Source organism: Homo sapiens, chromosome 3 (genome assembly GCF_000001405.40).
Source record: "Homo sapiens chromosome 3, GRCh38.p14 Primary Assembly".
Classification (NCBI taxonomy): Eukaryota; Metazoa; Chordata; class Mammalia; order Primates; family Hominidae; genus Homo; species Homo sapiens.
Window position 1 is genome coordinate 55,260,932 of NC_000003.12, and position 12,536 is coordinate 55,273,467.

Sequence of the window (12,536 nt, forward strand, 5' to 3'; positions counted from 1 at the left end):
GCTAAGGACTCTACTTCTAATAGTATAGAAAACACTGATAGTCCTTGGCATGAGCTGTTTAGAGAATTATGCAAAATAAATGCATTTGACACTCCTGATTCACCGCTTGTGAACGGCAAGGAGTTTAGTGACTCTATGCTACCTTTGACCATATGTGGAGAACCAAGGAACATAATGAAGCTGGTTGGTTGCTCCTAAGTTCAGTGGATAAAGTGATGAAAGAAAATGATAAACTCAGGGATTCTGTCTCTCAGCTTTAGAAGCAGATACTGAGCCTCAAATCTGCTAAGATTGCCCTGAGTGAGAGTCTTATCTCCTGTAGAGAAAGAGCTGAAATTGTGGAAAAACAGACACAAGCTCTTATCATGTGAGTAGCTGATCTGCAATGAAAGATGTATGCACAGCCTTGCCAGGTGTCTACTGTTAAAGTGAGGGCATTGATTGGAAAAGAACGGGACCCTGCAACTTGGACTGGGGACATGTGGGAGGACCCTGATGGAACTGGGAACACTGAGTTTGTAAACTCTGATGAACCTTTTTTGCCAGAAGGAACAGCTTCCCCATCCCCAGTAGTGGCAACATCCCTTCCCTGACCCATGGTGCCATCAGCCTTTCCACCTTTGTCTGAGGAGATAAATCCTGTGCTGCCTGAGGCAACAGTGATGGCCTCCCCTGAGGCACTTGCCAGGCAAGATAATGTTGATTCTCCTCAGGAGCCGCTTCCAACACCCCTGTTTGCTTCTAGACCTATAACTAGACTAAAGTCCCAGTGGGCCCCTGGAGGTGAGGTTGAGAGTGTGACTCATGAAGCAGTACACTACACTTGAAAATAACTGTTTGAGTTCTCTAATTTATATAAATAGCAATCTGGAGAACAGCCATGGGAATGGATATTAAGGGTATGGGACAATGGTGGAAGGAACACTGAGTTGGATCAGGCTGAATTTACTGATTTGTGCCTACTAAGTAGGGACTCTGCATTTAATGTTGCAGCTCAGGGAGTTAAAGAAGGTTCTTACAGTTTATTTGCTTGGTTAGCTGAAATATGGATTAAAAGATGGCCCACTGTGAGCAAGCTGGAAATGCCTGATCTCCCTTGGTTTAATGTAGAGGAAGGGATCCAAAGGCTTAGGGAGATTGGGATGGTGGAGTGGATTAGTCACATTAGACCTACTCATCCCAGCTGGGAGGGTCCAGAAGATATACCCTTGACTAATGTCTTGTTAAATAGATTTGTGAGGGCAGCACCTGCATCTTTGAAGAGCCCTGTAATTGCTCTTCTCTGTATGTCAGATCCAATGGTGGGAATAGCAGTCACTCAACTACAAAATTTAAATACGATGGGAATAATTGGATCCTGAGGGGGCAGGGGCCAAGTGGCATCACTCAACCGTCAAAGGCAAGGTGGCGTAGTTACCATAATGGACAGCAGAGGCAAAGTGGCAACCAGAATAGTCTGACTTGTGTAGAGCTCTGGCATTGGCTAATTAATCACAGCGTTCCTAGAAGTGAAATTGATAGGAGCCTACTGCATTCCTACTTAAATTATACAAACAGAAAACTTCTAGGTCGAATGGACAAAAGACTAATTTGAATTATAAAAACAGAGAATCACAGCCCCTCAATCAATTTCCAGACTTGAGCCAGTTTACAGACCCAGAACCCTTTGAAGGAAGAGGAGGCTGGATACCCTCGAGAAAGGACACCACTACATTACTGACAATTTATGCAGTGAATCTTTCTCCCATCCTTCCCCAAGGAGACCTCCAGCCTTTTACCAGGGTAACTGCATTGAGGAAAGGGAAATGATCAGAAATGTGGGGGACTACTGGACACTGGCTCTGAGCTGACATTGATTCCAGGGGACCCAAAATGTCATTGTGGTCCTCCAGTTAAAGTAGGGGTTTATGGGGGTCAGGTAATTAATGAAGTTTTAGCTCAGGTCTGACTTACAGTGGGTCCCTGGACTCATCCTGTGGTCATTTCCTCAGTGCCAGAATGCATAATTGGCATAAACATACTTAGCAGCTGGCAGAACCCCACATTGGCTCCCTGATTGGCAGGGTGATGGCTATTACGGTAGGAAAGGCCAAATGGAAGCCATTAGAGCTAACTCTACCTAGAAAAATCGTAAGTCGAAAACAATATCACATCCCTGGAGGGATTGCAGAGACTAGTGCCCCCATCAAGGACTTGAAAGATGCAGGGGTGGTGATTCCCACCACATCCCCATTCAGCTCTCCCATTTGGCTTGTGCAAAGACAGATGAATCTTGGAGAACGACAATGGATTATCATAAGCTTAACCAAGTGGTGACTGCAATTGCAGCTGCTATACCAGATGTGGTTTCATTGCTTGAGCAAATTAACACATCTCCTGGTACCTACTATGCAGCCATTGACTTGACGAATGCCTTTTTTCTTCATTCCTGTCCATAAGGCCCACCAGAAGCAATTTGCCTTCAGCTGGCAAGGCCAGCAATATACTTTTACTGTCCTACCTCAGGGGTATATCAACTTTCCAACTTTGTGTCATAATCTTATTCAGAGAGACCTTGATTGCTTTTTCACTTCCGTAAGATATCACACTGGTCTGTTGCATTGATGACATTATGCTGATTGGATCCAGTGAGCAAGAAGAGCAAACACACTGGACTTATTGGTGAGACATTTGCATGCCAGAGGATGGGAAATAAATCCGACTAAAATGCAGGGAGCTTCTACGTCAGTAAAATTTCTAGGGGTCTAGTGGCGTGGGCCTGTTGAGATAGGCCCTTTACGGTAAAGAATAAGTTGCCACGTTTGGCTCCTCCTACAACCAAGAAAGAGGCACAATGCCTAGTGGGCCTATTTGGATTTTGGAGGCAACACATTCCTCATTTGGGTGTGTTACTCTGGCCCATTTATTGAGTGACCTGAAAGGCTGCCAGTTTTGAGTGTAGTCCAGAACAGGAGAAGGCTCTGCAACAGGTTCAGGCTGCTGTGCAAGCTGTTCTGACACTTGGGCCATGTGACCCAGCAGATCCAATGGTGCTTGAGGTGTCAGTGGCAGATAGAGATGCTTTTTGGAGCCTTTGGCAGGCTCCTATAGGCGAATCACAGTGGAGGCCACTAGGATTTTGGAGCAAGGCCCTGCCATCCTCTGCAGATAACTACTCTCCCTTTGAGAGACAGTTCTTGACCTCTTACTGGGCTTTTGTGGAAACTGAACATTTGACTATGGGCCATCAAGTCACCATGTGACCTGAACTGCCTATCACGAACTGGGTGCTTTCTGACCCCATCTAGCCATAAAATGGGTCGTGCACAGCACCATGTTTCATCTAGTGAATCAAAGAGACGACCTGCAGCAGAATCACCTGGGAATTTTGTTAAAAGTGAGATCCCTGCACCCTGATTCAGATCCTTTTTAACAAGCACTGACCTGGATACACACTAAAGCTAGAGAAAGATTCTGCACTGGTATGTAAGCTGGGGAATGCTACTTACTAGGAGTGATGGCCATAGTAACGAGGTATGTTTTAGTAACACTGATAGGAAGCTTAGCTCACTGTGGGACCAAAATCACATATTTACCTGACCTAAATCCATGGCACAGGTAAAGTAAAGAGGAAGAAGAAGGAGGAGTAGAACAAGGAGGATGAGGAGAGAGAAGAAGGAGGGAGGAGAGGAAGAAGGAGAAGGAGGAGGAGAAGGAGAAGGAAGAGAGGAATAAGTTGACATCACCTATCCTTTCATTCCTACCATAAACGAATGAAGGAATGAATGGGACATGCTATAAGCTGACAGCATGTGCCCCTGGCCTGGTCTCCCTGGATGAAGCTATAGTGAGTGGAGGTGAGCACAACATCAGCACTGCCAAGCATCTACAGCTAGAGCAGGAACATGGCTGATGGAGCACAATGCATCACCAGTGACCAAGACAAAGGGAAGTCTGAATGGACTGTCAGTTTGGGGAACACCTGTAAGATGCCTGAAATTTGAGATTTCTGTAACCAAAAGATCTATAGTCTCAGGATCTGTATTCAGGTTTTTCTGCATACAGCATGACTTCTGGGAAGAATGTTAGAGGTGGGCTGCTCAGGAGGTTGTGGCTGCCTTCTCTGCATCTCTCAGCTAGACAAAAGGCATAGAACATTGGATTTCACTCTCTTTACTTTTACGCTTTCTGGTGAAAGGGCAAAAAGTAGACTGCAGATGAACCCAAGAGATGACTCACTATGGAATGCTTTTCCTTTCTATCATCTCTGGAGAAAGGCATTTTATCCCAGCATCTCTCTTACTGCAGACCATTACCCGAATACCTGCAGCCCCTCTACTTCTAAAGGCATCCTTGCAGTGTGTTCACTGTTATTACTCTTGACAACAGACGTGAGACTGAGAATGATATTTCTAAAAATAAAATGGCTCCACGATTGCACTACTTGTCCCAGAATCGCACTATCTCCTGAAACAGAGCCGGAACACCATTCATAGCAACTCCCTTACTGCCAGGAGATTTGTTTTCAATGCACCTGACAAGCCACATGAGATTCATCCTCAAAGCCTACTTGTCAGGGGAATAAATACCAAGAGTCAGAACTTCCTGAGAAATCTAGTGATGGAAAAGCCTTTAAGGATGAACAAATTAAATTCTGTTCTAACACCGGCAACAGAAGGAAAGCAAAGTGAAGTGGTGCAGAGGAGAAAGTCCAGGTCCAATTTTGGATAAGGCTGAAGATGAGTTACACTGTTAATGCAAAACAGATACACAAAGTTTTTTCAGACAGCAGATGCCCAGGAAAAGGAGGCTGGTCTGGGAACGTCTTGCAGCCAGGAGAGGCCCTTTGCTTCTGACAATTAGATAATTTTTCATGAAAACATCAATCCCTAGAAGTTCATTGTAGAATCATCTTTGCAACTACTTTTGCCACCTGTGTCCTGGGGTCATTTCTCCAGGCTTCCTATCCCAGGGCTAACATGTGTGCATCCTAATTTCCTCATCTTGTTTCCACCTCTGCATCTGTCTAGTGCTGTCAGACCAAACAGATATGCTCGAGATGACCACTCAGTACTTCAGGCTGGAGGCTTCTCCAAGCCAACACGTTAGAGGAGCTCTAGAAATCTAACAGTGTAATGGTTTCCATTAAATATTGAATATTGCCCTGTAGGGATGGAGCCTAGAAATTCATAAATTATGTAATCTAAGGGCTTTGCTGATGACTGATAAAATCAAATTAGCTGCTTTGGGATAAGGATGAATTTGAAACATAATTTCCTCCTTTGAAGAGACAGTGACAAATCTCTTTGATGGGTCTGCATGTCAAGGTTTTTTTTTTTTCTGGTAGAAAATTTAACAGGATCTTTTGTTAGGCAAAGTAAATGAGACTGGCTTAGGTTATGAACTAGTTTTTTTTTTCCCCAAAAAATGTTTATTTTTGTTATATTATTAAAGCCATACCCACCCATACAAATTTTGTTTTTAAAAGCAGGAAAAAAATTCACCCATAATTCTAACAGTCCAATAAAACCTGACATTTAGAGCATCTCCTTTCAGGCATGTTGTTGTATGATCATGCACATTTCTACAGAATTGAAGTCATATAATATGCAGATACACATATACACACATATATATGAATATTTATTTTATATATTCATTAAAACCTGATTCTTAATGGCTGTAAAATATTTCATATTCTGTTTCAATTTTTGATTACTGCTTTACGATACTTATTCCACCAAAGGGTACGAACAGTTTTAAGTAGCTTAACATACATTACCAGATGATTTTCCATAAATTCTGATTCAATTAGTAATCCAGCCAGTAATATATGGACTTTTAATTTTCTTTTTTGGGCTGGGCATTGTATTAGTCTGTTTTCACGCTTCTGACAAAGACATACCGGAGACTGAGTAATTTATAAAGAAAAAGAGGTTGAATGGACTCACAGTTCTATGTGGCTGGGGAGGTCTCACAATCACGGTGGAAGGCAAAAGGCATGTCTTACCTGGCAGCAAGCAAGAGAGAAAATTAGGACCAAGCAAAAGGGTTTCCCCTTGTAAAACCATCAGATCTCATGAGACTTGCTACCACAAGAACAGTACGGCGGAAACCACCCCCATGATTCAATTATCTCCCACTGGGTCCCTCCTGCAACATGTGGGAATTATGGGAGCTACAAGTGAAGATGAGATATGGGTGGGTACAGAGCCTAATCGTATCAGGCATTAAAAACTTATAACAGAATTCACTTAATACATGTCAATACTTTCCAAAATATTTACTAATTTGTTAGGTGAAAACAGTGTCTCATTGTTCTTTGAGCCGACTCATGACATTTATTGCTCTTTAGGCTTTGAAATTACTTTTTTATTTTTTAAATTAAAGTAATGCCTGAATAGTTTTGCCCTGCTCTACTTCTCCCTGGTTGTAGAATTTCCTAACTCACTACGTGAGTAATTATGACTGGTGTAACCAAGAGTGTGTGTTTTGAAGTAAAAATATGTTACTTGTTGTAACCAGAATAATTCCCTAGTCACATACAATCCAGTACTAGTGTGGTTTCTCATTAAACAAACAGGACAGGAGGCAAGATTAATAGTTTTAAAACATATATCTACCTTTAGTCTTCTCTCTTAGAGAACATTGTTTTAAAGATCCAGTTTGTAATCCATGCTATTACTTTTTAAAATTCCTTTGCTTTATTTATGTATTTTTCCATCATCACTGCTTAAAAGCTTCTTACTCACTTTCCCCTCTCTTCATCACACACTGCATCCAACATCTCACACCACTTAGTCCTTGCCTTGTGTGTCACAGCCCCTTTCCTCTCAGCCCTCCTGTCTTACATTCCTCTATCCCTACTTTAAATTTGGAGTCACTAAAGTCTAGAATCAGGTTGCCAAAGAATGCACTCTGGCTGGTAAAATGATCAGACACCCACATGCACACTGATACATCTTTTCATCACACTGGCTTTTTGAACCCTACTAGCTGTCAATATATAAATGAGGCTTTGCAGCTCACCATCATCATTTGCACAATATAGTCTTGACTCAAACTGAGTTAGCACTGGTCGATGCCCACAAGAGTAAACAGTTAAAAAGGAATTATTTGGTGCCCACCATGTTCAAGGTATTGTGCTACATGCTCAAGAAGCAGGAATAAGTTGCAAAGATGAAGATTATCTGGTTCCTACTTTCTAAGTACCTTCAGTTGGAAAGATGAAACACATAAACATGGGGAGAAAAACCCTACCTGTCAAAATAAAAGGTAATAATGATGAAATTAAAGAGAAATATGTTTGAAAAATAAGAGCCACTAGACTAGTGCAACCAAGACTGCAACACATATTCTGCCATCCTTTTTTTTTTTTTTCAAACAAGATACATCCATCCCAAATTGAAAGATATGGCAGTAAGGTCTCCAGCTTCCAACTTTTCAATGTAGTCTGGGTCTAGAGAAGGTGGCCTTAAATTTTGGATTCACCAAATGTGGTTTTGCTATCATGAATAGAGTTGCTACATGGTCTACAATGGAAGAAGTGCCCATTTCATCTGTTGTTTATTGAGTGTGGCAGGCACTGTGCCATCCACTGGGGATAGCTGTGCACACAACAGAGATGGCCCTTGCTTTCCAGCAGTTTCCAGGTGGTGTATTTTGTGAACTGGCCTCAATATTAGCTCTGGTTGACCTTGTTTTCCCTTTGCCTAATCTTTCTTCCTCACTTCTAAGTCTTTAACTTTTTCTGTGTTGTATGTTTCTTTGTAAGATGCCATAAATTCCTAACACAAAACTGAATATAAACAACGAATGAATGTTTCCAGTTAGTCATGTGCCAGCATTTCTTGCCTTGTACTTGATCAGCTACTTGAGGACAAGGACTCTGTCTCCTTCATTAGAACATAGTATTTATCTTTATGTTTGTCTTCATACTCAGCACTGGATGTGGTATAGTACTCAACAAATATTTGTAGATATAATTTGTCCCACTATAATACTTTCTTTTTTTTTTTTTTTTGAGACGGAGTCTCACTCTGTCTCCAGGCTGGGGTGCAGTGGCATGATCTTGGCTCACTGCAACCTCTGCCTCCTGGGTTCAAGTGATTCTCTTTCCTCAGCCTCTCAAGAAACTGAGGCTACAGGTGTGTGCCACCATGCTCAGCTAATTTTTGTATTTTTAGTAGAGACAGGGTTTCACCATATTGGCCAGGATGGTCTCGATCTCTTGACCTCGTGATCCGCCCACCTCAGCCTACCAAAGTGCTGGGATTACAGGCATGAGTCACTACACCCAACTGATGGGTACTGTCCTTGATTTAAAAAATAGTTCTGTAATCACTTAGGCAAGGGATGATGAACTAGCCTAAGTAAAGTATTTGCACCGGAAATGTTGGGTTTTTACAAATCTGCTGGATTATGAGTAGATAAAAGCCACCCAAAACTGATAACTGGACTTTCCAGGAAAAAAATACTTGCTCAATAGTTCATTATAATCACTGAGAGCCAAGATAAAAATTGTCTCACTGAGAGACACTTTTGTTACAGACTCTCACTGAAGCTCAGAATCAGCATGAAAAATAGGACTGTTGTAGAGGTAAACTGAGTAATTCTATCTTGCCCAGTTTACATTTGACACCCAAAGAGAAAAAAATTAGGAATAAAAAGGTTTGCTTTTTCTTTGGAAATGATCCTTCCCTGGTCTGACTTAGCAAGGAACACTGCTATCTAATGAAGCAACATGGAGTGGTCAGCAATGAAAGATAATGTCTATAAGACTCCTCCTTTGGGTCTGGCCCATGGTGGGCACTTTGTGATGTAATTACTGACAGTAATAGGGCGGTAGTTTACCCAGGATGTGATCACCACGGCATCCATCTAGTGAGTATGAGTGGGCATTTCTCCTGTCTGTGAGGGAGACAGAAGAATGCTGGGGAGGCACAAATGAACAAACACACCAAAGAATTCTGGCTCTAGAAACTGGGAAGGAGCTCATGGAGAATGCCTTGGAGGTTGAGTGAGTCAAATAGCCAGGCAGAGAGAGAAGGATGGGTGTTAGTGCAGGAGCGGGAAGCCATGAGTACCAAGGCCTGGTGATGGAAAATGTGCTCAGCTTTCGGTTAGGCAGGTTGTATGGCTGGACCATTGAGGTGACGTCGAAAGACCAAAGTATCAATGTATTTTGAGACATATGTGTGACTGAATTGCATGCTCTGGTTCGTCACAGATGTTTAGAGCCCCATATAGCCAGATCCAGGCCAGGGTGCTTATCTCATGCATTTCTTGTGGGCCCTGGGGGGAATCACATGGAAGTACGCTCCCTCCCCTGTCTTCCCGCCCCCCACATCCCCCTCCCCCCATCTAAGCTAGGACAGTTTCTACACACCTTCTGGGAATGGGAGAACTAACATTGTTATCTCATTCATGTGGACAAGTGGTTCGTAAGATACAGTCGCTGAAATCCTAAGGTTCCTTTGAAAATGCCTCATGTTCCTTTGAAAAACAGTGTAAAATAAAGTGGGGAGGGAGTGGGAGCAAACGCCTATTCCCCATGTCAAAGACAGCAGGTCAGTGTTGGTCTGTTTTATGTATTGGTCCTTTGTATAATGTTTTCTCTGGAAAAAAAAAGGATTCTATGCCACCAAAACAAACAAACAACAATAAAACATTTTTATATCTGAATATTTTGAAAACCACAGCAAACTTGTGGGGTTGAGGGGAGGGAAGAGGGAAGAGAAGAGACAGGAGAGGTGAGTGCAAAAAGGAGGGATGTGAAAGGCCAGGTATCCATATCAATTGCCAGAATGATTGCTTTTGTAAAACAATAGGAATTGTTTTAAATCTGCTTAGGCAGAGGAGGGAAGTTCCAAATCTATAGCTAAATGTAACTTGGAATTTTAAGACTTTCACCTTCTGAAAGAAATGGAAGAATCTACTACATGGAAATATGGGAGAGAGAAGACGCACTTCTCTTAGCTTGGGCAAGCTGTAAATAGGCAAACTTCAATAATAATAGTATCTATAATTTATTAAGATTATTATTTTAATCCATATTTCTTTCAAATAAGGAAACAAGTCTCAGAAAGTTAAGTAACATTCTACAAATCTCACAGTTGGTAATAATAGGGGTAATTAATAAACTTAGAGATGGCTGATGGAGATCATGTAACATGTTTCCAACTGCTCCAAGTCCAATTTCAAGAGCAAACACCGGCTATGGGACCCAAGATCATTTGGTTACATTGGAAAATTCCACAGGAAGAACATCATCCACCACAGCTACTGAAATCTTTGGATCTTTTGTTTTATGACTCTTATCTCCTGTCTCCTATCCCCCCGGTGGACTACCATATAGTTTTTAAAGCCTTGAGAGGAATGAGATACGCCAAGCTTTTATATGCAAAAAAGTGTGGTTAATGGGGTTGTAATTACATCTTAATTATTATCAAAAATTTATCTTTATGCCAATCACCCTCAAAGCTTCAAATAAATATATTAAAACTTTTATCTTAAAAAAGATTTTTATTTGTAATCAAATATTCTATTCCATATAGTTCAGAGCCAATATCTATTTAGTTCTTTTTTACCCCTAATCTCTTAGTCTCAGCTAACTCATTTTTTAAATGGACATAATCAGGCCAGCTTCAAAGAGTGGTACAGCAATATTAACGTACATGTCTTTCTCCTCTACCTGATTATAAAGTTCCCGAATGGAACAGTTGTCTCACTGAGTTAATAAATTATTTCACTAGATTGAAGTTGTTGTTTTACAGATACTGCCTGTAAGGTTGGCTCCCCAGGGTTTAAGGTCACAGCAGTTTCATAGCTGAGCACTGATGGGGCACACAGCTCTGATCACGGTAAGGAGATGTGGCCAACAGGAAGAAAGACACAATAGCACAACAGGGAAGGAGGAAGGGAAGCAGGAAGGAGGCATAAATACACAAGAACCTACATGGACAAACAGAGCAAAAGAGCAAATGATGACTGTCAATGGCAAGATCCTCTCTCATCTCGATTGTTCTTGTGCTGTTATCACCATGGAGGTTTCTCTGCCTTCAGCATCCTCCAGGCTCCTCTCAGGCTCTGCAGGCACCTCTTTTCCGTCTCCTCCTGCTGCCCTAGGCTGAGCTGAATTCAGCTTCTGTGCATTCTGCACTTTATATGCTTCCTTCTCCTTCTGATCTGTATCTGTGAATTCCTGCCACATGGAGGAAGCCCCATCAGTGCCTGCTCAAAGGTTGTGCACCTCACGCAGATTCAGGGAGTAAACAGGAGAATATACCTCCTGGGAGTGATCTTGCATCATCTAAGTTCTATGCAACTGACACACAGTAAACTGTTTGAAATAAGTCTTGGTAACATCTTTTATCATTGTTCAGAATAGCTACAAGTGAATGTTAAAAGCCTTCTTTTTGCTAGCTGCACTGTGAAGTGGTTTAGTCTGAACAGAATTGAAGCACACATCTCAGGGATGGTTGTGGAGAGTACTGAGTCATTTTAATGAAAGTCACCTTCTAGCTCCAAAGGCCCTTGTCCAACTGGTCTGCTAGTCCAGGAATTCTCTGCAAGTTGGCAAGAACAAAACCTCGATGGCCTTGAGCTGTAGTCCAGTTGAATCCCTGTGTGTTAATTGCATGTCAAACTGCAGCAAGGAAGGCAGACAGAGGGGCTGAGCACTGTTTATTGGTTGTTTGAAGCTGAAACACTTTTCATACAAGTCCTATAGATCTCTCTCTGCCTTACTGACAGGGTAGGTAGGACCCAATCAGGTCACTGCCTTCATTACTGCATCATTCTCAAGCACTTTACTTGTGACAATGTCCAAGTCTTGGCAATATTTGAACAGACAGCAGTATTAGGGCGGGGCCATAAAGAACTTGGCTCAAGTCTCCTTTGTATATGGGGGAGGAGCTTATGATGGGGGAGGGGGATTGCTAATCTGCAAGCACAGTGATACGGATATATTTAGAAGGCCCAGGGGTTATCCAACCACATAGAATAGAGTCTAAAGGGACTTTGAGCTGTTAATTGTCAAGTTCCCTTTCAGAGGAAAACCTTTAGGAATAATTTCCCTTGGGTTGCTCTTTAATGTAGAAAGTCTGTCTAGAACAGGATTTCTCAACCTTTGCATTACTGATGTTTAGGGCCAGATAACGCTTTGCTGTGGGAGGAGGGGGGCATTGTCCTGTGCATTACAGGATATTTAGCAGCTTCCCTGGCCTTCACACTTTAGGTGCCAGTAGCATCCCCACTCTTCAGTAGTAATAACCAAAAATGTTTCCAGACATCCCCAAATATTCCATGGGGAGCAAAATTGCCACCAGTTGAGAACCACTAGTCGAGAAAATAGCAATGCTTATGTCCAGCTATGAAATGAAATACAGAGCTCAAACTTCACACCAAATAGTTTGAGCTACCCTAATTCCCAGTCTAGTTGTGCTTTTATAAGACTTCAAACTGGTTACATTTATTCCTAAGTCTAACGCCAGATCACCAAATCATTCTAAGCTATCCAAGGTCATTGGATCCAACAGACTCAATGTCTCCCTAGG

At 42.0% G+C, this 12,536-nt stretch overlaps 2 long non-coding RNA genes across 12 annotated transcripts in view; one reads left to right on the top strand and one right to left on the bottom strand.

The window, feature by feature from the left end:
- Positions 1–12,536, bottom strand: part of LOC124906243 (uncharacterized) — a 207,146-nt gene that overhangs the window by 117,124 nt on the left and 77,486 nt on the right. Inside the window, exon 2 of the long non-coding RNA XR_007095917.1 lies at positions 5,931–5,989. This is a non-coding gene — a long non-coding RNA (uncharacterized LOC124906243). The remainder of the gene's footprint in view (positions 1–5,930; positions 5,990–12,536) is intronic.
- The window catches only part of LINC02030 (long intergenic non-protein coding RNA 2030), a 74,093-nt gene that overhangs the window by 34,077 nt on the left and 27,480 nt on the right, over positions 1–12,536 (top strand). The gene's annotated exons all lie outside the window — the stretch shown is intronic.